Here is a 27534-nt window from a genome sequence, read left to right on the forward strand (position 1 = left end):
CAGCCAATTGGAAAAGAATACAATTCCAGCATAGCCTGCTCCTGATGGTCACCTTGTGAAGAATAATGTACTGTTTGGCATTCAGATGCTTTAATGGAGGGCTAATTTATGACGTCTGGAAAGGAAGGTAAATTTAACAAGACAAGTTTGAAAGAAATAGCTGTAATTGACGAGTGCATCATTACAGGTTCCTCTTGGCCACGCTGCCCTTTTTTCTCTGCCACACAATTTCTCTGAGTGGACCCTTCTTGACTGTCGAAAAAAGTAATTAAGTCCTTTATGAGTCAGACTGACAGCAAAAGTTAGCAATCTTGTTACAGTATTAAAACTTGCTTACAGGACCAAAGACTTTATTTGGTCTTTGAAATAAAAGTAAAATCACCATCTCTTTGTGGGTTTCTTTTCACAATGAGGCATTGATTTGCTTTTGGAGAGATGGGAGCCCATTATGATTTTACTTTTTTTGTTGGCGCTGCTGATATTAAATCAGCGTACCTCAGGTGATGAGGTTATATATGCCGTGTTTTTAACTTTCATCTGCTTAGTGAATTCCTTTTGTCTTTTGATCTCTCTCAGCAACCTAGTTTTTGTTTTTAATTTTAGATATGACCCTGCTTTTCCAGAACTAGATCACTTTCATTCTGTTTTGAATACTTAATAAAAGTTCCCAAAATGAACACGAGTTTTCGTAGCCTTTTGTTTTCCAAACAAGCGAGGGCTCATTTCTTCCAATTAGAATGAAACTAAAATGCGACCAAGTCAGCATTTTCATTGGAAATGTCAAGAATGTATTTCTACAAAAATATAAACTGAACTTTACCATGTAAAGAAGGAACAAAGTCATCTGTCGAAAAGCAACTCCAGGCCCCGGAGCTCACAGAGTGCCCATTATAGTCGTCCCAGAAAAGCGTTTTCTTTACCAGAGACCTTACCAGCTAGCTCAGCCTGGCACCGCAATGGGCTGACACCAGCTCTTACTATTCTCTTTGCTCGGGGTCTGAAAAGTATTTTTTGGCACATATCTCTGATCTTTGGTTCTCTGCCTCTACAACTGGGGGTTGCTTATGACTAAATGTTTTCTGTGATAAAGTTAATTTCTGAAGCTTTTAATTTTTTATGAGCCAAGTCACCTGTAACACTAACTCACTGTTGATAAAGTCTCGCTACTATAAAGTCCGTGCTGAGTTTTTTAAAAAGTCAGACAGTTCAGTTCTCCTGTGAAATAGCAGATAGTCAATGATATAATCATTTGAATCTGACACATTCTTACAATAGCTCAGCTCCAGTGCATTTTTTAGGGGTGAGTGTGGAAAAAATAAGCTATGAAAAGCACTCATAGCCAGATGGAAAAAGAGAAGGTTTTGGTTTTCTCTCTCTCAACAGCCAATATGCCCAAATCTGTAGAATTAAAATAAAAAGCTGTTAGGACCCATGATAGGCTTACATTTTTTTCTGAGGTTTCACCTAATGATGATAGTGATCAAAATCCTGCATGATCATCATTAGAGTTTATAGCATGTTTAATTTGTGCATTAAAAATCACATTAATTGTGATTACTCAAGGCTATATATAATAATGACACAGAAATATTGTACTTTAGTTTATAAAAGGAAGCCTTTGAATCTTGGCTGGGCTTATGTGTCCTAAAGAGAAAAAAAAACCTAAAAAATTCAAAGATTAGTTAATGAAGAAGAATTAATGTTAATAATGTCATAGCTCTCTCCCCTTTTAATCCATAAAGCCCTGTTTATTAATAGCAACAGCAATAACAAGAATGAGCATATTCCCTCTTTCCCCCACCAGTGGCCTTCACAGCTTGACAGAGCGCTTCATTCTGCTGAATGAGCAACACTCAGGACACCAGTGGCCTTCCGAGTGGGCAGAAATTCCTTGGGCAGCTCCAGATCCCAGCAAACCACTTAATCAGCCTTTACATAAAAATCGTAGCCTAGAGAAGGCATTTGAGGAAACTCTTCCTTATGCTAGCCTTTTCCCCTCCATTGTGGCCTCTGGAATCAGTAAGGTTAAAAAGAGAACCTGACATACTAGACTGTTTCTATCAAACACTGAGTTTGACAGAAAATAAGCCAGTTGGGGCCAGGCGCAGTGGCTCATGCCTGTAATCCCAGCACTTTGGGAGGCCGAGGTGGGCAGATGACTTGAGGTCAAGAGTTCGAGACCAGCCTGGATAACATGGTGAAACCCCATCTCTACTAAAAATACAAAAATAAGCTGGGCTTGGTGGCAAATGCCTGTAATCCCAGCTACTCAGGAGGCTGAGGCATGAGAATCACTTGAACCCGGGAGGTGGAGGTTGCAGTCAGATGAGATTGCGCCACTGCATTTCAGCCTGGGTGACAGAGTGAGACTCTGTCTAAAAAAAAAAAAAAAGAAAAAAGAAAAGAAGCCAGTAATAACTGTTGTCATTGCTAATGATTACCAGAGATAGATCTACTCAAACTGCAGATAGAAATCCTCTGATCATGCCGTCACCCTGATTGACACCAGAGCCGCACAGTTATTTACTGAAGGGAGCCAGATGGGCAGTGATGGGGGCCTTGCACCACTGGAATGGAGCTTCTGTTTGTTTCTGAATTGCATTTATTTACTGCAGTGGATTTGAGTTGCTACTTTAAAAGCTGGTTGTTGATGTTTGGAAAATAACAACTAAAAATTTACATGGAGAAAAAGTTTTTTTTCAAAGAAAAGCCTTTCCATTTTGGTTTAAGTTGTATATAGTTAGCCAGTTTCTTCTACTTTTTTGCTTTCCTTCAGTCTGTCCCTTAATGTTCTTATTTTTATGATAAGATACCATCATTTTTATATTCACTTGAATATGATAGACTAATCTACATATGTCTCCAAGTCTTCTTTGAGTCATTAGAAGCTCTTTCCTGCTTGATAGAGTTTGGGCTATTATTAATTTGATTTCTTATTTTAAAATCTCATCTTTTTTTGAATGTGAATGTCTTCATTTCCCCTAATGCCTGTTCAGTCAACTCTAATTTCTGTTTCTTGAATCTAGGGTCATCTTCATTAGTTTAATTACTGTAGAAGCCTGTTTCCTAAATGTGCTAATAGCATGAAAATGACTTATTTCCATGTTCTCTGTTGTGCTATGCTAAGAAACAGGCAAAAAGAAAAATTTGTACAAGAAGACTGAAAAACATCTGTTTTTTTCAAATGACCCATTCAAAGCAGTTGCACCCACCCTCATCCATCTGCGTGCTAGGATTTGGGTATAAGGGGCTAAAATTGGCATAGAAGATGGGGTGGGAAGACTACCCGAGGCAGTCAGTAGCAGAAAGAGCTGCATTCCTCAGAGAAAGTGAAAGCCGGCCGGGCATGGTGGCTCACGCCTGTAATCCCAGCACTTTGGGAGGCTGAGGCAGATGGATTACGAGGTCAAGAGATCAAGACCATCCTGGCCAACATGGTGAAACCCTGTCTCTACTAAAAATACAAAAATTAGCTGGGCATGGTGGCATGCACCTGTAGTCCCAGCTACTCGGGAGGCTGAGGCAGGAGAATGGCTTGAACCTGGGAGGCGGAGGTTGCAGTGAGTTGAGATCACGCCACTGCACTCCAGCCTGGTGACAGAGCGAGACTCCATCAAGAAAGAAAAAGAGAGAGAGAGAAAGGAAGGAAGGAAGGAAGGAAGAGGGAAAGGGAAAAGGAAGGAAGAGAAGGAAGGAAAGGGAAGGAAAGGAAAGAAAAGAAAGTGAAGCCAAGGAGAGCAGAGATGCTCACTGATTCTGACAACAATAGAAATGCATGCAGGATCAGAAGGCTTGGTGCAGGGGCCGGGTGGAGACCAGAGGGAGGTGGGAGCAGGTTAGGGTGAAATGAAGCAGGTAGCAGGTATCACCTCTACTGGTAAGTAGGTTCATTGTGTGTGATATGCCAGGCTGGTTTAAAGGGCTAGGGCTGGTTATGAACAGTCCTGATGTAATAAAAATATCTTTACAATTCACCCAAGGGTTCTCACCTATTGTTGAAAAAGTTACCTTCTCTGAGATGTTTGAGCCATTATGGTGCAACCTCTATTCCAAAACTCCAGCTAAGGCCATTTCTCTGCACTCCTGACTTATAGTGTCTGTCTTCCAGTTCCCAGGACGTGAAGTTAGAAGATGGGATGAATGATATGTTTGCATTTGATCTTTCTTCTATCCCTTCTTTGCAAGATTATTTCACCTTGTTCCTTAAGTTTCACATGGTATTGCTTTTACTCCATCGATTACACATCATAAGACAATTTGTATCTTTAAAGTGAAGTTCTCAAAGTGTGGTAGGGACTCAAAGGTCCCTAAGGTCCTTTCAGAGGATCTGCAAGGTCAAACCCGTTTTCACAATAACGCTAAGACATTGTTTGCTCTTTTTTGCTCGTGTTACCTCACGAGTGTACAGAGTACAAATTCACCCGTAAGATTTTAGATTCCATGTCGCAAGTAACCTTTAAGAAACGACCAGTTGTCAAGTTTTAGTGTCCGTCAAAGAACATCAACAATTGTCTAAGAAGGCTATTGAAATACTGCTTCCTTTTCCATCTACATTTCTGTGAGCCTGGATTTTCTTTATATACTTTAAAGAGCATATCCTAACAGATTGAATGCAGAAGGAGATATGAGAATCTAGCTGACTGCAATTAACAGATACATGAAAGAGTTTTGTAAAAATTTAAAAACTGTGGCTCTTCTCACAAAGTTTTTTTCTGGAAAAGATAATTTTTTTCATAAAACATGTAATTTATGTTAACATATAATGGGGTTATTGTTATTTTAAAATAAATTAATGAATACATATTTTTTAAGTTTCTTGGTTTTGTAATATGGTTCATCTCAGTTATAATCCACATAAACAAAACTCTTTGGTGTTATCAGTAATTTTTAAGAGTGTAAATGGGTCTAAAGACTAAAAAGTTTGAGGACCATGGCTTTAAAGTAAGCATTTGTTTGGATACTGGAAAAATTCTGTTTGTTTAATGACACGAATGCATACCATAAACTTGGGTATTAATAACAAAAGGGACTTTTAAGAGCACTTATCTGGGCCTCTTCTTTCTTCTGTGCCAGTGGTCGGCACCTTTCCCTCCTCTTTCTATAAACGTGAGAAACATTTAAATACTATCTATTTTGTTTTCATAAAGTGTTTCAGGTTGCCTATAATAGTTTAATAAAAGCAAGTGGTTTTGCCCTTTTTTGCCTCAGGAATGCAAAGCCTTACAACAAAAATTTCATTGATTCTCAGTTATTTATAAAATAAAGGCCAAAGTACCCACTTCCTGAGAGGAAGACTGGAGAAACCCACTGTTTTCTCCCGATTTAGAGAGAGACCTGTGACATGGGAAGTGGCTCTGTGATTGTCTAATGAAGTCCTCAAGTCAGAGGGGAGACCAGGATGGGACCTGGTTCTTTTGAGTTCAGCTCAATCATCTCAAAATGTGCCATTCTTACTGCACCATCTTTCTTTGGTAGTATGCCCAGTGTGTGTTTAATTAAGATTAACTAACAAAAGGGTGGTCAGATGCCATGTATCTAGTGAAGAGGAGATGGCTGAGAAGTTGAGTCCTGGCACCTTCTCTTGGCTTCTGACAAGTTCACCTGGAACCTTGGAAAGTTGCCCAGCCTCCCTGGCACTCTTGGTCATCTGTCAATGAAGACTGACCCACCTGGAGAGGTGGGATGCAGCTTTATAATTTACATGGCAATTTTTGGCTGCTTTACCTCATTTAATTCTCACACAGCAAACCTCTTAAAGTAAGTAGGGCAGATGTCATTACTTCCATTTTGCAGTTGAGGAAATACCTGAGATTATGTGATCAGTAAGTGATGACACTTAATTCTATTCCTTTTCCTAACAATACAAAACCTCTGCCAATGTTTACATGAACCACGTCTCTTGGTCCATGAAAAATACATGTTCAGAGCACAGGAGATGTATTTGACTCCTCAAGTTGCAACTCTGAATTATTTCACACGGAAATACCTGTGGTCCTTTAGAATTGATGGCACTGTAAGTACTATGTTTCAGGAACATCCTGGGCTAAGCAGATGTTTGTGGATTGACATAGGTCCCTGATCACCTCTTATAGCATGATTTCTTAAAAGGGTGTTCCAGGTTCCACACAACCTATTTATAAATGAACTTTTAGAACACAAGTCATTCTGTTGTTGTGTTTATTCTTTTTATTTTGTTAAATGAACCGCATTTACTCAATGTTCTCTATTTTAATGTTTACCATTTTTATTTAGTGACTTTCTTGAAATAGATGGTATTACTAATATTTTAAGCATTAAAATATTACTTAAAGTGAGAGCACGGGCTCTAAAAATATAATATTTAAAAATGCTTTACTCCATTATTTTAATACGTATAGGGACCCTCCCCTCCCCCCCGATAGAAGACAGATTTAATTATAAAATAGAAGTGAGTGGGAAAAATTCTCTTATCAGAAATTTCCTATGTAAAAATAAAAGTTTGCTGTATTCCATCCCCTTTCAGGTAAAATTTACTTGTATTTATAAGTAGCTATCTAATATATGGTGTATCCCATGTGACTCTATAAAATCACACACTATTTCTAGAGAAGATAACTGCAGGCAAATAGCTTCCTCTATTTAAGTTTCATCTCAAGAATGGAAACATAAACCTTCCCATAGGAAAGATTATAAATTGCCTTGCTCCCTCTGCTCATGCACATTTTATACCTGTCTTTATTGTTCTCTTTAAAACTATTCAGCGTTAACCCCACACTTTCTTATATTCTAGGGGGAAATACCTTTCTATAACTATTGAATTATGGGACAATGCCTATTTTTTTTCTTTTTGATTCTTTAGAAGTTCTTAAAACTTTCAAAAACAGACACATCTGCAGAAAAGATCACATACTAATACACTACTCTTATTTGCCTTTTTCATTGCATTAGAAGCCTATTCTGCCAGTGAGGACTTCGTATCATTGTATGTAGCTGTGTGTGTCTTGATGGTTGTGTCCATCAGTGCTCTTTAAAGCATGGGAACGTGGGAAGGCTCCCTCCTGGTTGAGGCCCCAAGCTGGCAAGGTGATATCCCACATAATCCCAAACAAATTGTTCTATCTTTAGATAAGCAGATATAGTCATAATTACCATTATTGGCTCACTCCATTACTTAATAATATGGAACCCAATAGTTGTGAATTCCTTTGGTTAAGCTATGTTTCCATAGAATTAAACTTATTGATTTATTAATAATTATTTTGTTTGGACAATTTAAAGTCTTTTAATGCCTATCTGGTCACCAACCTTGTAGTTTTTATTTTCACTCCAATTTTCTGAAGTAGCAATGTACGTAACAGGAATTCTGAATTTAAAGACATGGAAAATTCCATTTAATGAGGTACTAATGAAGAAATACTGTCCTTTAATTACAAAATAAGAATTTTGAATATGACCTAGTGAAAGCTGAAGAAGCCTGGACCTCAAATTATTTCCAGCCAATTTACCTTTGAGGGTAAAATTTATTCTTGTTTTACTTATGTATCAAACAATTTATTCAAACCCTGATGAATTACAAATATACAAATATATATTTAAAAACCATGGGATTTTTAAAGGCTTCAAAATTAAATATTTAATTGTGTGGTGATGTTTAAATATAGTAATATTCTTTACAATTCTATGAGAATAAAGGAGGGAAGATGGAAGGCTCATTCATTTCCTTGAAATAATGTATTCGTAGGATAAAATATGGTATTTCTTTCTTAACTGTATATGGAAGGATTGTGATTCCCCAAATACACTGGACTCTTTCAACAAAAGTAAATATAACTGTGCATTAAAACATACAAATGATCAACAAACTATATTACAAGAACATGCATATGTGAATTCCTATTAATATTGAAAGCACTGAACCATTTTCTTCACTCAAAGTTCAGGGTAGGTTTGCTAGAATTCTGTAAGAAAGAATCTGTAAGGAGAGAATCTTTCCCTTTTTTTTTCAGAGAAAAGTGGGGGAGCAAGGAAGACATTTTAAGTTGGCCAGGTCCCTAGTGGCTTCACATTTTTGTCTTCTTTGAAATTGAGAAAATGAACAAATGTCTTGTATTCCGTGTACTGATATTGCATGCAGTCAGTTTGATGAGTCATTAGATTTCATGATTAATTTTAAGAAATCTTTCGACCTCTTCCTCCATTGGAGTTCTCACTGCCACTACTCACACTACAGAATTAGTACTCAGGCCCTACTGATGACAACTTTAAAGTGCACCTGGATCACCATTTAACAGGTGTTCCCACAACAATTCATTTCTCTGCACTCATAACCATGCCTAGCTTGTGAATTTCTTGAAAGTTGGGTGCCTTATTTTAGCCGTGATATAAATTGTTTTCACAACTTTATTGATAACTACACTGGTTGGAAAAAAACTCAAAGCCTTCCTGACATCGAAATAGATGATGCCTTTTAGGCCTGGCCCTGAGTTATTGGAGAAGATTAGTATGATATAATTTGATCTTTAAGAAGCCATTCTATTTATTACCATGTTTTTTCCCGAAGGAGTTTGCAATTGATTGTGCCCAAAATTATCAATATTTTGGTGACAAACTTTGTAAGAATAAAATATTAAATACTCTCAACTTGAGTAAGATGGCTTCTGGTGCAACTCAGATTAAAATTGGCATGGAGCTATATGGTATTGCTGATGTACTTTATTTCCAGTGGTGTGCTGGAGCCGCCTCCCACCAGCTCCCGTGAGCTGATCATGCACAGCTTTTTCCAACTATGCTTTCACCTTGGTAGTCTGAAATCAGCCATGTTAGGAGTATTTACACCAAGGAAATTGGCATATGCTACAAATCCATCCCTCTGCCCCATGAGAACCAGTTGTTAAAATATTTACTACTGCTTAAAAACCAAGAGATAATAAATTTACAGTTCTTAGATTTTTCAGCAGTATCTACTGAGAAGCAATCACAAAGGAAATATCAGGTAAGGTCTTTGACTTTGAGAAATCACAGGTTTAGCCAAACCATCTCCATCTAAGCATTTATCAAATTTCTCTTTAAACTTGAAAATCAACTGAAGAATTTAAGTCAAGTTTAGAATAGATAAATATGTCTTTGAGTATATTTTACAATGTCTGTTTGATTTAGTAGATCCTTCTGGGGACAGGTCTTTCTAGAGTTTGGAGAGTTACCAAGTTACTAAGGTGTATTTCCTCAGGGCTGCTTCTTGCTTGTTCTCAGAGAAGTTGGCCAATCACTGACAAAATGCATTTCTTTTCCCCCTTTTCCTGTCGTTTGTTTTATTTTTAAGCTAGCACTTGTATTTTGGAAAAATTATTTACTCAAAGATATCTTGGGCAGGAAAGAAAAATGTTTTACTTCAGTTATTTATTGGATCTCTATAAAGCAATATGATTTCTCCTAAGGCTAACTATATAGTAGGACTAGCATCATAAAAAAGTCATGTCTTTAAAAATGCCAAAAATTTGATTTTTTGTATAGAAAGAAAAAAAGAGCCCCTTTATTAATCAAATATATGTCCCTTTAAAAATGTTTTGAGGGTAAATTTATAGAATCATTTCCAATGTGTAGACAACTGCCATCAAATGCATTCTTAACAATGATTTAAAATAGAATGAACTGTAAGTGGGAAAATTGCTAAGGATGATAATCTCCTGATACAACTAATAGGTAATTATTTTAAGTCAAAATGTTAATTCATCAAAATCAGTTTCTTAATTCAGATATGGTTGTTATCAAGACTTTGAAAATGATAACTTTCTTTTCATCCTATCCAAAATTCTATTTAAAATTCTTTAATCCCTCGGGGTAGGAGGAGTAATCTTGAGCTCTTGCCTTCTCATCTACATTTTTCTTTTCTGACTGTGTCTATATGCTGTAACTTAGTGCTCAGCCCATTTCACATAGCAGGTGTTTTTTCCCTATGTAACATATTCTTAGAGGGAATGACTATAACAAGTTTAACCAAGGGCATGTTAAGAAATTGGGGAGGGGACTGTGCCTTGGCTAGGGATAACCTTTTTTGTTTTAATCATTTTTTTTAATTTAATTTTTTAAACTTTTAAGTTCAGGGGTACATGTGCAGGTTTTGTTATATAGGCCTTGTGCCCACTAGTTATTTTTCCTGATCCTCCCACCCTCTCCACTCTGATAGGTCCCAGTGTCTGTTGTTCCCCTCTATGTGTCCAAGTGTTCTCATCATGTAGCTCCCACTGGTAAGTGAGAACATGCGGTATTTGGTTTCTGTTCCTGCTTTCGTTTGCTAAGGATGATGGCCTCCAGCTCCATCCATGTTCCTGCGAAGGACATGATCTTGTTCTTTTTTATGGCTGCATAGTATTTCATGGTGTATATGTACTCAGCCTATTTTGTTTTAACTGAAAGACAAAAACAGGGTCAGGTAAGTCAGTTAATTTTTTAAAGTATTGTTTATTTTCCTTTGGACTTGAAAGACTTTTTTTTTCTTTTTTTTAATTGATCTCAGGGGAACTTCTATCATCTAGATGACCTTAAATTTAGCATTTCTTCTACCAGTCATCCAACTAAAACTGATGGCTACTCTTGGGTGGGTGTTACGTACATTCTAGGCCTGTGTGAGCCTTATATACATTATTTCATGAGGTTGGCATTATTATAACCCTTACTTTTTAGATGTTGAAACAGAAGGCTTGGGAATTTAACTACCTTGCCCCAGGTCTCACAGTTAGCAGCCGCTGAGCCAAAACCCATCTGCAAAGGGGGCCTAGTGTCAGTAACCCCCTCATAGGGTTGTTTTGAGGATTAAAAGAAAAAGCAAACAGAAAACTGTCCATAACAGTGCCTCCAACAAAAATAAGCACCATGTTGGAGCATCATCATCATCATCATCATCATCATTATCAAAACTAGGTCAGTAGGATCCCCACAGCAATGCTGGTAAGGCCTGCATAAAATGCCAAGTGAACAGAATAGTTGTGGCATTCCTTCCCGCTCACATGGCTGTAGACCCAGAAGATCTCCAAATGAGGCAAATGATAATAAATGCCACAGATTTATATGGCTCTGGCTCTGCCTTGTCAGGTTAAGAACAGCTTCTCGTGGTATAGGGCAGAGTGTTTTAGGCTGTTTTTAGGTCTGAGATCTTTATTTTAAAATTGAAATTAAACCAGGCAGGAAAGAAGTCGTAAGGGACATGTGTTTGAAACTGTGGTGTTTTCTGAGCAAACTTGTCTGTAATTTAAAATTGAACCTAGAAAAAAATCATTGCTCCATTCATTTATTTATTTATTTTAGAGACAGAGTCTCACTTTGTCTGCCAGGTTGGAGTGCAGTAGCACAATCATAGCTCACTGTAAACTTGAACTCCTGGGTTCAAGCCATCCTCCTGCCTCAGCCTCCCAAATAGCTGGGACTGCAGGTACACACCACCATGCTGGCTGATTTTAAAATTCTTTTGTAGAGATGAAACATTTTTTTGTCTTGCTGTGTTGCTTGGGCTGGTCTCTCAAACTCCTGGCCTCAAGTGAGCCTCCATCCTTGGCCTCCTAAAGTTCTGGGATTATAGGCATGAGAGCCACTGACATTTGCTTTTGAGCAGGTGGAGAAAGGAGACAGGAAGGGCTGACATCTTAGGGCTGTTTGGTAGGCACGACCTTTAAGGCGAAGGTTTTGTGCATTTCAACTCCCTGATTTCCTTTCCAACTTTTCAAATAGCAACTCTTGAATTCAAACATGACAATCAGAGAGTAGTCTTCCCTCACTGGCACTCACCACAGACAGCCCAGATGTCACAAAGCAAGACCCTCCTGGTTAAAAATGCCTGAAGACCACTCTCTATGTGTTTGTTCTCAGAACATATTTTGTTTGTTTTGTTTTGTGTTTTGAGACAGGGTCTCGCTGTGTCCCCCAGGCTGGAGTGCAGTGGCATGATCTCAGCTCACTGCGACCTCCATCCGCTAGGCTGAAGTGATTCTCCCACCTCAGCTTCCTGCGTAGCTGGGACTATAGGCGGGCACCACCATGCCCAAATAATTTTTTTTTTTTTTTTGGTATTTTTAGTAGAGACAGGGTCTCACCATGTTGCCCAGGCTAGTCTCGAACTTCTGGGCTCAAGCTATCCACCCGCCTCAGCTTCCCACAGTGCTGGGATTATAGCCGTGAGCCACTGTGCCCAGCTCAAAACGCATTTTTGATGTACATAAGCATTCCCATATTCTAGACCAGATTCTTTCTTTACTGGTCTCCTTTACCCAAAGAAAATAAATCTATCCCCTAATATTTACAGGACATTGATGCTTTCTTATGCATTATCTGAGAGATAAAAGGCAAAATCTTCTGGTTTTGTAAGTGTGTCCAAGTTCAACTAGACTCATATCTGTTAATGCCAGCAAAGCAGGAGGGGGGAGTGTTTTGGGGAGAAACAACTCATCTTTTAAAAATATCCTTACTCATTGTGTATTGTATTTTGTGTTACTCATATTATATGAAATTTAGGACTAGAATAATAAACATTTTTCTCTAGAGCAAATGAAGTATTTTGCTGATTTTTCATGTATAAAAATGTCCTACCTACACACAGTCTTGATGATTTTCACTCAAGAAATGAATTTTCTTGAATGGGAATATTTTGTGGTAGGGACACCAGGATAAGTCTTGTTAATGGGGAGAAAAGCATTTTTCTTTATATTAATGTTATATTTTGTATAAATTAGAAATTAATCATTTAGAGTTTGTTACATCAACTTTGATGTTTTACTGGAAAGCAGTGGTTATAAATGTCTGTCTTCCATTTGTGTTCTTAATACGTGGTCATTCTTAGAGAAAACTCTTCTCAGATAACCAGGCAACGAATGGAGGGACTGTTCAGGGCCTATCTAGGGAAGCAGGATGTAGGATTATGATGGGCCTCAGAGGCAGGCGTGTGATGTTATCTTCAAATGAGCTTATACATAAAGTTGTGCTTTGTGTTAAAGGCACTGACTTGATAAATGTGAACATTTAAAATATGTCACATTTGGGTAATTCTGCTTTGGCACTGAAGAACTTTGAAAAAATAGAAATAGCCCAGGCCTCCGTAGAAAGAGCTTTGTTGATTTGTTCCTGAGTGTGAAGAGCAGTGATTTGGGCTGAGAGAGGACTCCTGCCCCTGGATAAGCATCTGGGCCTGTGGGTCACAACTGTGGCTCCCCTAGGAATCCTCCTGGAGCTTTGACATCACTAATTTCTGGTTTCAGCCCTCATGGTTCTGATTTGACTGGTCTGTCGTGCAGCGTAGGCGTGGGGAGTTTTGCTCCTCAAAGGGTGTCTGTGCATCAGCAGCACTGGTGGCATCACCTGGGAGGTGTTAGATACACAGATTCTCAGGCCCCACCCTAGCCCTGCTGAATCAGAACCTGCATTTCAACAAGAACCCCAGGTATACATGTTAAAGTCTGAGAAGCACTTTTTACAGCCATCTTAGGCCGATCGGTCTGAATGTCACCTGAAAATGAAAGTGTTCTAGGATTGGTTGTTTTCCGTCACCTCCACTAGACTGTCAGCCCTGTGAGGGCAGGACCTGTTTGGTTTAACACTCTTCTCCCAGCTCCCATGAGTGCACCAGCCCTGCCGGGGCTTGTGTGGGTTCTGCCAGTGTATCCCCCAGGGACTCTCCTTGCCCTGTTCCCACATCAGGCCAGCCCTCTTTCTTCTGAGACCCTGATGGCCTTGCTGCTTTGTGGTCCCATGAGGCATCTCTGCTGGTCTGCCCATCTATACCTGGTATTGCTCCTATGTTTTTGCTCTCAGAGGGCCATCTTATTGCTCCCACTTCCAGCTTCTCAATAGGGCCTCAGTGTAATCTTCATGAACTTTCCAAATTGTTTTTAGTCTCACAAAGCCCACTTCCATTCATTAAAGACCCTGAGCAGGTTGGAGAGCATTTATAGTCACAGCTGAGTCTGTGAATATAACCAACAACTGTGATGACCCCTCTGTTAATAAATAACTTGGACATCAGCAAAAAAAAAAAAAAAAAAAAAAAAAAAAAAGCAGGGGGAGGAAAGGTATAAAAGATTATTCCAAAGTATTAATTGTTGGCCACTGGAAAAATAATGGCTAATTCTGTTGGTAGAAATAAAGAAGCCAAGGTAGGGATCAGTTGGGGAGGGTGGGGACAAGGATATGCCTAATTTGCACTTGCTGAATTCGAGGGAAGGATAGGTATCCATGTAGAAATGTTCTGAACATAGCTGGGGGATAACAACATGGGAGGTCCCAGTTATTACTGCAAAACCTCTTTTAGAGTCTCTTGACCTAGAATGTTATCATTCTTTCCATTCTTCCTGAAACATTAGAAGGAAATGGACTATGGCTGCCCAGGGCCCCTTCTCCTCTAACTTAACCAGGAAGAAAAGAGAAGAATGGTTCTGTTTTCATAAGTTAGTGTGAGGGGACAATCTAACAGACAGTATCTGAGAGGAACTGGTTTGATTTCATCCACTCTTATTTAATTCCTTTTTTTTTTCTTTTTGAGATGGAGTCTCACTCTTGCTCAGGCTGGAGTGCGGTGGCGCGATCTTGGCTCACTGCAAACTCCGCCTCCCGGGTTCTAGCGATTCACTTGTCTCAGCCTCCCGAGTAGCTGGAGCACAGGCGCCTGCCACCGCGCCCGTCTAATTTTTGTATTTTTAGTAGAGACAGGGTTTCACCATGTTGGCCAGGCTGGTCTCGAATTCCTGACCTTGTGATCCACCCACCTTGGCCTCCCAAAGTGCTGGGATTACAGGCGCAAGCCACCGCGCCCGGCCCACTCTTATTTAATTTCTATTATGCCCTCTCCGGTCACGTGATAACTTACATGCCAGTGTGCGATGTGGGAAAGAAAAAGAAGGCATCAGACATCACGGAAGGGCTCTGTATATTTCTCTTTCGGAACCACCTCCATTGACCCTTATTACACAAACCCTGACTGAGCCAAGGAGCCCAAACAGTGCAGATCTAAGAACTTTCGAAGACTACCTGCCCTGACAGCTATTTCAATGCTAGCGGGGAATTTCAGCAACAACCAATTTAACTGAGCACAAATGATGTGCTGACTGAAGTTTGGTAAAAAGCATGTAGTTGAGATTCAAAAGTAAATGCTGTCTCCTCTCTGAGTTGCTTGTGATTGTTAATAGACTGAAAACTGACCAAATTGGCAAGAAAGCAAATAGTTTTACTTATATGGCTATACAATTATCCTCAATTACTAAATTCAGTTGGTGAGCACCATAATTACTTTGTAATATAAAGGGCAACCTGGGGAGAAGAGATTTTTTTTTTTGTTGTTTGGAGGTAAGTGGCCATAAATAACTAAATCAGAAAGGATACAGCACGGATATACAGTTTTTGTTGTTGTTGTTGTTTTTAAGTATCAGAAAAATAAATACAACCTTTCAGGATGCTTTGCAAATGTAGGGATTTTGTCACTAATAGAAGTCTTTGAAATACATATCTGGAATGACAGCAATAGTCAGTCAGTGTGTGCTTCAGGATGAATTTATGACCTGAATTTGGTTTCCCATGCTTTCTTTAACACTGTGCTACTATGGCAAAGTTATCATTTCTTTTTTTTAACACCTAACCATTTTTCTGGTGGATGGCTTCCTATGTCCCCCTCCCCCCAGCTCTTTCCCCACAGCCCATAAAAGGTTTTCAGGAGATTAGGCAATCCCCAAAACTGCCAATGATAGTATTTTGCTAATTCTATAAATATTTCTGTAGACTTCACTCCAGTGAGACATAATTTCAGCAGTTGGAGTAATGGGCTTTCCTGCTGTTGCGTGCATTCAGATCGAAAGCTCTCTGACTTGCTGCGCAATTACTCCTATGTTTCTGCATTTCTGCTTCGTGACATTCTGTCATTAGTCTTCCCTGCACCAGGGTGTGAGGTTGTAGGGAATGGAATGTAAACATTGTCATTCTGAGATGAGCTGCCCGAAAGTTCAGCAGTGAAAATAGCAAGAATAAGTTTCCTTCCAGAACCTGGCAAAGCCATTTTGATTTGTTTGTGAACCCAGGTGGGGCTTGTTTATTGACAAACTGTGATTCTTCAGATCACCAGGTGATGTTTACAAAATGTAATGTTAAATCCCTCCATACCTCTTTAAAAATGTGTCCCCATATTTGCAAGTTTCTCAGAGAAAGGGCCACATAGTTAAGCAGCTGCTGGTTTGAAATGTAAAGTACTTAGAAAGTACCTAAGGAAAAGAGCTTTATAATAAATTTTTTAATCAAAATTTTGAACTCACCTTGTGCAGCTTTGCTCACGGGGCATGTTCAGCTCATGACTAATGGTCACTCTTACTTGACTTTGCCTATTTTCTTCCCTACTTCATTTCCCCCATGCATTGTACCTTTAAATTGTCCCGCTCTAATTTGGTATCTCTTGACTTCTGCTTCAAACTTTTAGTTGTTTCCGAAGCATGCTAAGCAAAGTCTGTGTTTAGCTCCTGACCGAGGCTTGGTGTTGACTGTGGGACATACTTACAGAATAGCAGCTCTACTGCTAGGTGTGTGTGTGTGTGTGTGTGTGTGTGTGTGTGTGTGTGTGTGTGCGCGCGCGCGCGCGCGAGTGCGCACATGTGCATGCATGAGGGACAGAAAGAGACATCTTGTTTTTTTTTAGACTCTAGCTTCCAGGAGGTCAGGAAAAATAGTGGCTCTAGTTTAATTAACATCCTGTTTTAGCACCAGTTACAGGGTCATTACCACAGTAAATGTTAGATGTTAGACTTTATCTCTTCTCCATCAGAATTTCACTTTCCACAGGATACTGTATTTCTTTCAGGCTAATCTATATTTTAATGGCTTCTAAATTGTCAATTGAGATGGTAATTAGTTCTAATTTAGTGATAATGCTGTGAACATGGAGTAAGAAGCTAATTGACATGGCATGCTACCAACTAGAATTTTATGAACTAAAACTTCTTATCTCTTGCACAACAGTGAGTGTTCTCATTATAAAGGTGCCATTCAGGAAGGGAGAGTGGCTTTGCCCACAGGTGTTCGGTACCTTGTGGATACGTTGCTGATTGCTAGGTGATGGCCAACTTTGACTTTCCAAGTCGAACGGGTCTCCCTTAAACCTGCTTTTGGAAACTTGTACTAAAAACCCCTCCTATATGCATATTTAGTTAGGACATGTTTGTTTCCAGTTGCGTTTGTTTTTCCTACTAGATATAAGGAATTCCTATGGAGGCTGAGGGATATACAAGCAGGAGAACAGCAATTCTCTGTTCAACACATCTGGATTCTGGTAGAATAGCAATACATTCACTGAAAAGTTCTTAATAGTTTACAGAAGACTTGCACATATGTGACTTCATTTGATCTCATAATTGAAGTCAGGGCAGGCATTATTATACCCATTTTAGAGCTGAAGAAACAGAAGTTCAGGGAAGTTAAATAGTTTGTCCGTGATTATTTGACTGGGTAAGTGGGAGAGCCAAGCCAAGGACTGGAGTCTTCTGACTCTTGCTTCAGGGTTTTTCTCCCAATTACATCTTATTTCTCTGACCTGTTCATCCATATAATCTTATTCTGTAATTCTAAGCAATTGCTATTTCCTTAAAAATTCGGAAAAATTACATAACTATAACTCAACTAACTCATTACCTTTTTACATCCAACCCCCAGACTCTGGAATTAAATTTTCCTTCAGTACTTACCCTACCCTAGCTCAAGCTCAGAAAAACTGTCTTGGAAAAAGAGGTAAAAAGGACAGAAAGTAAAGAGAATCAGATTGAGGGGTGCTTCTGACTTTTTTTTTAAAGAAATTTTGTCATACAACTCCCCTAAGATGTGAGTCCTAAGGTTAACCAGAGTAGTTTTTCAAAGACGCAGCTTGTCCGTTACATTTGCTGCTCCGTGGCTGATCCTGTCCTGGACTAGCCTACCAGAACGTTCTTTAGCCCATTCATTAGATGATCTAGCTCCTGAATATCTAGCACACAGACAGTCTTAATCCCTGATTTGTGTTTGTGTATGTGTTTGACTCTGATTTGCCTTTCAGATAGATTCCTTAGAAGCTCTACCAGAATGTGGACAGGAAAACAGTGGTGTGAGACCCTAACAAGTCAGCTCAGCTTTTTGTCAGCGGCTGTTACTGCCTGGGCAGGGTAGAAGTCATTGTTGAAGATGAGGTCTTTCGGTTACCAGGCAGTTTTTTACATCCTTCCTTGCCCTCCTCCTGCTCCTTTAAACCAGTGGGAGATGAGAAAGCCGAAGCTTTATCTGTGTCTCTCTGTTAGTTTATTTGTAAACTGCAGGTCAAAAAGTAATATTATGTATAAAATCCAGACTAGACAATTGCTCGTTTCATGCAGAGAGGGTTTTAAAGGAAATCAGCTGACTTCCTGACTTGCTGAATGAAGTGTGAGTTTTAGTTTCTGTCCTGTTAGGAAATGACATGTGAATAGAGTTCTTGTATAAGCAGGCTTTTATTTTTGTCAATGGTTGGAAATTTGGGAAAAAGAGAAGAGAGGTCTGTTTATTTTAGCATATCAAGATTCATTTCTGTGGCACACACGCAGAAATGGGTATTTCTGAGTCTTGGTGGTCTCGGGCCTTGAAATTCCATTTCCTCTCCTCTCCTTCTCCCAGAGTTGTTGGATTGCCATAGCAACATGACTCCTCCCCCACAACCCTGTAAGAGTAACTGGTTACAGATTTAGCAGCAAGTCAGGCCGAGATCAAAATCCAAATATAGGGCCCTGATCACAGAAGGTGGGAGGACTGAGGCCGAAGACTGCTCTGTGTCCCTTCCTGGGGCTGCATGTGAAGTGACAGGCGCTTTGCCCGGACGGTCTAGGTGGTGCTGCTTGGAGACTCCGCCGGCCTTCATGAGCATCACTGCCATGTCACAGAGGGGTCTGCACCAAGGAAGGGAATTGAATAATGGCATGGATGAAGAATATTTACTGCAGCAGTATAACTCTGCATCAGATGAAATTGCTGATGCTCTGAAAGTCAAGCATGAGACTATTGGGGAAGCAGCTATGGAAATAGGCCTTCAGTAGGTGCTATAAAAATAAAGCATGCTCTGTCCCCAAGAATGCTTCCTAGGGGAGTCTTTGGGATGCTGAAAATGGTGATAATCATATCAACAATTGCTCATGTTGATTGAGTACTTAGTGTGTACCAGGCATTGTACTAAGTACTTGATAACTCATTTAATCCTCCTAACAACCGTTTGACCTATGTGCTGCTATTTTACAGATAAGGAAACTGAGGCACTGGGAAGTTAATGAACTGCCTCAAAGTTATGTAGCTTGTAAGTGGCTGAGCTGGGATTTGAACCTCTACAGTGTGGCTCCTTAATCCAGGTTCTTCATTCTCATAGTATTGTCTCTAATGGATCTGTATGGGCTCATAAATAGGGTGTTCAAGGAACCTTAACTGTAGTTTTGGTTTTTTTTTAAACACAAATATTGTTACAGGTTGAATTGTGTCCTGCCTCCCCCAGAATGTCAAAGTTCTAACCTCCAGTAGTTATGAATGTGACCTTCTTTGGAAATAGGGTCTTTGCAGATGTAGACAAGTTAAAATGAAGTTATGACGTGATGGTGGGCCCTAATCCAATGTGACTGGGTATCCCTATAAGAAGCCGACAATGCCATATGAAGAGAGACACACAGGAAGAGCACCAGGTATTAATAATCACAGAGGCAGAGATTAGAGTGAGGCAGCTGCAAGCCAAGCAATGCCCAGGATTGACGGCCACCACCAGAAGCTTGGAAGAGGCAACGACAGATTCTACTTAGTGTCTCAGGGAGAGCATGGCCCTGCTGACACATCTTGATTTCAGACAACCTGATTTGTTTTCAGAACTGTGAGAATAAATTTCTGTTGTTTTAAGTTACCCAGTTTGTGGTATTTTACAGTCATCCTAGGAAGCTAATACAAATATGTTTTTATTGTACCAGATTCAATCAGTAAGCCCCAGTATGGCATACAGAGTGATACATGAATATTTCGTTTTATCTGTCCCTTCCCATCTTATTGGTAACTGCTAATGACAGTTTATCTCCTTTCTATGCATGTATATTTATGTTAGTTTTTATATAATGAACCTATATTATATTCATTTTCTGCTATTCTTTTTTTTCTTTAAAGCTTACTGGTATATTCTGGAGATCTCTAAGTATTTGGCTTAAAAATTTTTTTTTCAATTGCGGTAAAATACAGTTTATCAACTTGGCCATTTTTAAGTGTACAGTTCAGTGGTATGAAGTGCATTCACATTGTTATGCAGCCATTACCACCATCCATCTTTAGAACTCTTTTAATCTTGCAAAAATGAAACTGTGTGTGTATATTAAACAATCACGCCCCATTACTTCCTTCCCCTGGCACCCACTGTTCTATTTTCTGTCTGTATGAATTTGACTCTTCTAGATACCTCATATAAGTGGAATCATACAGGACTTATCCCTTTGTGTCTGGTTTATTTCATTAGCATAATGTCCTCAAGCATCATCATGTTGTAGCATGTGTCAGAATCTTCTTCCTTTTGGAGGTTGAATAATATTCCATTGTATGTATATATGTCATTTTGTTTACCCACTCATCTATCAGTGGACACTTGGGTTGCTTCCACCCTTTGGCTATTGTGAATAATGCTGCTATGAACAGGGGTTTACAAAGATCTCTTTGAAATCCTACTTTCAATTATTTTGGGTATATATCGAGAAGTGGAATTGCTGGATCATATGGTGATTCTATTTTTAATATTTTGAGGAACTGCCATACTGTTTTCCATAGCAGCTGCATCATTTTACATTCCCACTAGCAATGCACAAGGGTTCCAATTTCTCCATATCCTTGCCAACCCTTGTTATTTTCTGTCTTGTTTTTTAATAGTAGCCATCCCAATGAATATGAGATGATATTGCATTGTGGTTTTAATTTGCATTTCCCGAATGATGGGTGATGTTGGCCATCGTCCCATGTGCTTATTAGCCATTTGTATATCTTCTTTGGAGAAATGTTCATTCAGGTCCTTTCCCAATTTTTAAAATCAGATTGTATTTTGTTGTTGCATTGTAGGAGTTCTTTATATATTCTGAGTATTAACCCCTTATCAGATATACGTATGAGTCTTTAGCTTTTAAGCTGTTGTTTCTCTCTGCACCAGCTGAGAATGCTTTGGTGGTGGTGGTCATGGGGATATTGTATTCTCATTATCAGGCTTCTAGTGATAGGTTGTATCAAGGGGTATTTCACTATGGTGAGTTTTCTAACAGAGGAAGCAACATGTATTAGTCAGGGTTCTCCAGAGAAAAAGAGCCAATAGGATGTGTGTATGCATATATGTGTATATTTTATAATAAATATAATGTAACTACATATTTATAATTACATAGCTATATTTATTACACATATAATAAATCTTGTATTTTATATGTGTGTGTGTGTGTGTGTGTGTGTGTGTGTGTGTGTGTGTGTGTGTGATGAGAAATCGGCTCACATGTGTATGAAGGCTGACAAGAGCTGCAGGCAGAGCCAGCAGGCTGGAGGTCCAGGAGAGCTGATGGTGTAGTTCCAGTCCAAGGGCTGATGGGCTCAAAACATGGGAAAAGCTGATGTTTCCATTTGAGTCCAAAGCAGGAAAAGGCTAATGTCCCAGTTCAAGGGCAGCCAAGCAGGAGGAATTCTCCCTTACTCAAGGGAGGATCAGCCTTTCTGTTCTGTTCAGGCCTTCAGCTGATTGGGTAAGGCCCACCCACATTATGGATGGCACCCTGCTTTACTCAGGCCACTGATATAAATGTTAATCTCATCCCAAAACACCCATATAAAAACGTTCAGAATAACATATGGCCAAATATCTGGGCACCTCATAGCTCAGTAAAGTTGACACATAAAACTAACAATCACACAGCACTAACAAATGATGCTGTCCTCCTCTGCCTCTGCTAATTAGTTTGAAGATGAAGAACATTCTCAGGGTCTTCATTTTCCTATAGGTTTTGTGGCTCAAGTCTGTTATTGAGCTCATTCCTTTTCATGTGAAGGTATAACAAGACAAAGCAACTTTGGAGGGCTCCAGGTGGTCATTTCTAGGGCAGATGTTTCCCTTAGAATGATGTGGCCTCAAAGAAGGAGTTTTCCTTTTACTGAATCAATAATAATTTTTATAATCCCAAATTACTTAAATAATAACTGAAACTTTGTACATGTCCATGTAGCTTCTCTAAATCTCTCCTGCTTTTTAAGGCTTGAGCTGTTTTCTTTTTCTTTCATAACCTCACTGCTTCTTGCCCACTATCAGCATTTTTCTGACCCTGTATAAGCCTAAGTGAAATCCCTTGGGACATACATAGCTTCTTTATACTAAGAAACTTAAGTGTTGGTCTAAAGTATTAACAATTTTTGTGCATTTTTGGTAAAGAAAGTTCCTACAGTTTTACTCTCTGTCTCACCCCTAGATTTTTGGGCACTACCGTTCATTCATTCAGAGTTACTATACACCAGGTAGGGTGCTAAATGCTGGGGGTATGGCACTGAACTGTACACACAGAGTCCCTGCCCTCCTGGAGCTTACATTCTAGTGGGGTCTAGTGAGCTTACAAAGCTAGTACAATAAACATGCATTGCCTTCCCCACACTACCACAGCCCCACTACAAAGAAAAACCAAAGCATTTTAGAGGATGACTATAGTAGAGTCAAGATGAACATGCACTAATAAACAAACCACTTACTATTAGATATACAAAAAAAATGCAAACGATTATACGGTAATGATTTGGCTGTACCCTTTTTCCTTTTGGAAATCTCAATCTGGTAATCTGTTTGTTTTTCATTATTAATTTGAATAGTCAGTATGTGCATGTTTGTGCATACATGACAAAAACCAAAAGGCACAAAAGAATACACAGTAAAATGTAAATCTCCTACCCCTGCCCTGGCCACCTATAGTTTCCCTTTCCAGAGTAGCCACTGTTTTTACATAATTTCCCACTGTTCCTTATAGGTCTTTGCATAGAAGTATGCAAACATACACATTTGTGTTCTTAAAAACACCCCAAAACTCCAACAGGTTAAGCTCTACCCATTTGTTCTACACTTCACTTTTTTTTTCACTTAACAGCATGTCTTGATGATCAGCCCATACCAGTATGTATATAATGCATCATTCCTTTTGCTGGCTGCATGGTATTCCACCACAGGAATGTGTACTGGCAGGCAGTATTGCATAGAGACCAAGAACCTGTGGTCTGAATCCTCAATTTACCACTTATTAGCTATGCATCTTGGGTAAGTTACTTAAGCTCACTCTGTTTTAACTTTCTTATCTAAAATAGGACGTATAACAGTACTTAACTCATAAGGTTGTTGTTAGGCACGTAGAAAGTACCTAATGTATTTTATCTGTCACTATGTATAGTAATTTATTTAAGGAGACCCTATTGAAGGATAGTGAAGTTTTTGTCAACATTTTGCTTTTAGAAGCATCACAGCAATGAATAGTCCTGTAATATATATCATTTCACACATGTACAAGTTTATATTTAGAATAAATTCTTAGAAGTAGAATAGCTGGATCAAACAGCTAGGTATGTGATTTAGGTTCTGATGGAAACTGCCAGCTGGCTGTCTGAAGAGGTTATACCAACCTACAGTCCTAACCATAATGTATAAGGGTGGGCATGAGGAGTGGAGGCAGGGGAGCTATTTTAGTTTGGGTGGTCAAGGATGTGACGTTGGGATTAAATCCTAGATGATGAAACCGAGCCAGCCACGTAAGATCTGGGATCACAACAGCTGGGGCTATGCTCCACAGCAGAAATGGCCCTGCTGTGTTCAAGGACTGGAAAGCAGGCCAGTTTGGCTGGAGACTGGTGAGTGAGGAGGAGACTGCAGGGCTGTGAGTAGACAGGAAGGCAGGATTCATATAGACCCGATTTAGGATTGTGTTCTAGGTGCAATGGAAGCCATTAGGGGGTCTGAACATTGTAAGATCACTCTGGATGTGGGGTCGTGAGTAGTTGGGGACAAGTAGAGGGAGACAGGGAGATTAGTTAGGAGCTAATGCCATGCCAGTCAGCCATGTCAGAGAGTGGGGTGCCTGGTGCCTAGGGGGTAGTGGGGATGGAGGAGGTGGAGCCTGCTGGTTTTGCTGACAGATACAAAGGATGGGGAGGGGGCAGGAGGAGTCAGGGAGAGATAGGACTCAAGGACTATGTGCCCTCCTGGCTCTGTCATTTACTAGAGGTATGACCTTGGGCAATAATCTCTTCTCTCTCTGCTTTACTATCCTTTATAAAATGAGGAGAGTAATTTCACATTTTCATATGGTGGTTATGAATATATCACTTAACATATGTAAAATGCTTGGTACCTGCTAAACAAATATCAGCTTTTATTAGGTATTGAGATGGGGAAGATTGGAAGTGTTGGAGGGGGGATCTTCTTGTCTGTCTTATTACTGTGTCCTCAGCATTTGGAACAGTATTTGGCACATAATAGATAGTCACTAAATATTGTTGAATAAAATTATGTATATTCAGCTGGGTGCGGTGGCTCACGCCTGTAATTCCAGCACAGGTGGGCAGATCATCTGAGGTCAGGAGTTCGAGACCAGCCTGGCCAAGATGGTGAAACCCTGTCTGTACTAAAAATACAAAAATCAGCCAGGGATGGTGGTGTATGCCTGTAATCCCAGCTACTCGGGAGGCTGAGGCAGGAAAATTGCTTGAACCTGGGAGGCAGAGGTTGCAGTGAGCCCAGATCATGCCGCTGCACTCCAGCCCGGGCGACAGAGCAAGACTCCATCTCGGGGGGGTGGGGGGAGGGGGGAAGTACTGTTGAATAAAATGAATGAATGAATAGAAATAGGACCCATTGGAAGGGGAATGGGATTGGGTGATTGATAAGGAAAGCTTTACATTATCTGTATCAGCGGTCCCCCACCTTTTTGGCACCAGGGACTGGTTTCATGGAAGACAAAGTTTCCACGGGCCAGGGTAGTGGGGACAGGGATGGGGGTTGGTCATAAGGAGTGTGCAACCTAGATCCCTTGCATGCACAGTTCACAATAGGGTCTGCGCTTCTATGAGAATCTAATACCATGCTGCTTTGACAGGAGGCAGAGCTCAGGTGGTAATGGTCGCCCGCCGCTCACCTCATGCTGTGTGGCCTGGTTCCTAACAGGCTGTGGACCAGTACCGGTCTGTGTCCCAGGGGTTGGGGACCCTCTATCTATCTATCTATCTGTCTGTCTGTCTGTCTGTCTGTCTGTCTGTCTGTCTGTCTATCTATCTATCTATCTATCCATCCACCTGTGAAATAGTGTGAATATACTGACACGTTATTTATATAGTTAAAAATAAATTCTAAAAATATACTAACATAGTAATAAACTTAGCAGTGTCAGCAAGACTTTTAAGTTAAAATGTGTCTTTGGGTCTGATTCCCAGAACCATGAGCCAAGAACTAAAGTTTGGGGATCTGCAGATCTTGGTCACTGTATCCTGCTATGCATTCAGGGCTCATCAGTTACATCATTTTGAACCCAGGAACTTGTTTTTCAAGAACATTTGTAGATAAAAGTGAGTCTCATTTCTTAATAGTTCACAAATCACTTTTATAATTAAGAGCAGTGCCTTTAAGACATAATCTCAAAACTTATCCAGCTGGGCGCTGTGGCTCACACTTGTAATCCCACCACTTTGGGAGGCTGAGGCGGGTGGATCACTTGAGGACAGGAGTTCAAGACCAGCCTGGCCAACATGGTGAAACACCGTCTCTACTAAAAATACAAAAAAATTAGCTGGGCATGGTGGCAGGCACCTGTAATCTCAGCTACTCAGGAGGCTGAGGCAGGAGAATCACTCAAACCCAGGAGGCGGAGGTTGCAGTGAGCTGAGATCACGCCATTGCAATCCAGCCTGGACAACAAGAATGAAACTCCATCTCAAATAATAATAATAATAAAATAAAATAAAAAATTATCCAACAGGCCAGGTGCAATCGCTCACGTCCGTAATCCCAACACTTTGGGAGGCCGAGGTGGGCAGATCATCTGTGGTCAGGCGTTCGAGACCAGCCTGGCCAACATGACAAAACCATCTCTACTAAAAATACAAAAATTAGCTGGGTGTGGTGGCTCATACCTGTAATCCCAGCTACTTGGGAGGCTGAGGCAAGAGAATCACTTGAACCCAGGAGGTGGAGTTTGCAGTGAGCCGAGATTGCACCACTGCACTCCAGCGACAGAGCAAGACTCCATCTCAAAAAAAAAAAAGAAAAGAAAAAATTAGCCAATGAATGAGAAAAATAACATCAGCACTGCAAATTAAACCACCAGGACTTGAAATTTCAGTGATCCTATTTTTGCATACCACAGCCCAGCATTCATTTATTCAATCCAGAAATAGTTATCAAGCAACTGCTATGTGCCAGACACAGGTCTAGACACTTGGGATACGTTGAATAACAAAACAAAGATCCTTTCCCTCGTGGAGCTTACATTCTAATGGGAGGATGTGGGGAGACAGACAATGAGAAGCAATACGTAGCGTAAGGTAAGTAAATCACAGAGTATGTTAGATAAGTCTTGTGGAAAAAATGAAAAGTCAGGCAAGCTATGGTTGCTTGGAGTTTTGCCAAGAGTTGTGATTTTATATAGTGTGGTGTGAGCCTCAGCTAGAAGGTGGCATTTGAACAGAGATGTTAGGGAGGGAAGGCAGTTTGCATTTGCATTTGAGGGGAAGGTTGTTTCATGCACTGGGAACGGCCATTACAAAAGCCCTTAGGTTGGGATGTACGAGGAGGCTGGTGTGACTGGAGAGGAGTGATCAAGAGGAAGGGTGGTGGGAGGCGAAACCCCAAGAGGTAAGTGGTGGTGGGGGAGTCGTGCACTGGGAATCATGCAGGGCCTTGTAGGCTAAGTGTAAGCCCTTTGGCTTCCACACTCAGAATGAATTTTGGAGACATCGCAGGTTTTGAGCAGAAAAGTGGCATGCTCTGACTTATACTTTAAAAAGAGAACTCTGGCTTCTATGTTGAGAATAAACTTTAGGAGGGCAGATGTGGAAAGCAGGAAGACCTGTTGGAAGGCTGGTAGAGTAAGAGATGATGGCGGCTCACACTTGGCTGACAGCAGTGTAACTGGTGAAAGTGGTCGTGCTCTGAATATATTTTGGGTACATCTTGAAGGTGGATTTCCTGACAACAGAATTTCCTGGCAGATTGGATATAGGGTGAGAGAGAAAGAGAGGAGTCAGGAATTATCCTAAGCTTTTTGACCTGGGCAACTGAAAAGATGGAGATGCCATCACAGAGATGGGGAGGGCATTGGGCTTGGCAGGAAAGCTCAGGAATTTGGTTAAGAACATGCTGAAATTGAGATATTGATTATACCTCCAAGTCCCATTGTTGAATAGGCGGTTGGATATATAAGTCTGGAATTTAAAAGAGACCGATCAAGGGGGCGAGATATACATTTGGGAGTTTACTTTAAATACCAACTATATGGCATGGAACTGCATGAGCTCACCAGGGGAGTGACGGTAAATAAAGAG

At 40.1% G+C, this 27534-nt stretch overlaps 1 protein-coding gene and 1 long non-coding RNA gene across 17 annotated transcripts in view, besides 1 other annotated feature; both read left to right on the plus strand.

Moving 5' to 3' along the window:
• Nucleotides 1-27534, plus strand: part of SAMD4A (sterile alpha motif domain containing 4A) — a 228000-nt gene that overhangs the window by 44183 nt on the left and 156283 nt on the right. The gene's annotated exons all lie outside the window — the stretch shown is intronic.
• Nucleotides 1-27534, plus strand: part of LOC112268133 (uncharacterized) — a 64608-nt gene that overhangs the window by 5452 nt on the left and 31622 nt on the right. The window contains exon 2 of the long non-coding RNA XR_002957606.2: nucleotides 1-27534. This exon is cut by the window's right edge and continues 31622 nt beyond it. This is a non-coding gene — a long non-coding RNA (uncharacterized LOC112268133).
• Nucleotides 13120-13179: an enhancer, noted in NCBI's record as "active region_8413". NCBI's record gives its function as "activates an Ori minimal core promoter by ATAC-STARR-seq in GM12878 lymphoblastoid cells {active_cell/tissue: GM12878}" and the evidence as "EXISTENCE:reporter gene assay evidence [ECO:0000049][PMID:35858748]".

Source organism: Homo sapiens, chromosome 14 (assembly GCF_000001405.40).
Source record: "Homo sapiens chromosome 14, GRCh38.p14 Primary Assembly".
Lineage (NCBI taxonomy): Eukaryota > Metazoa > Chordata > Mammalia > Primates > Hominidae > Homo > Homo sapiens.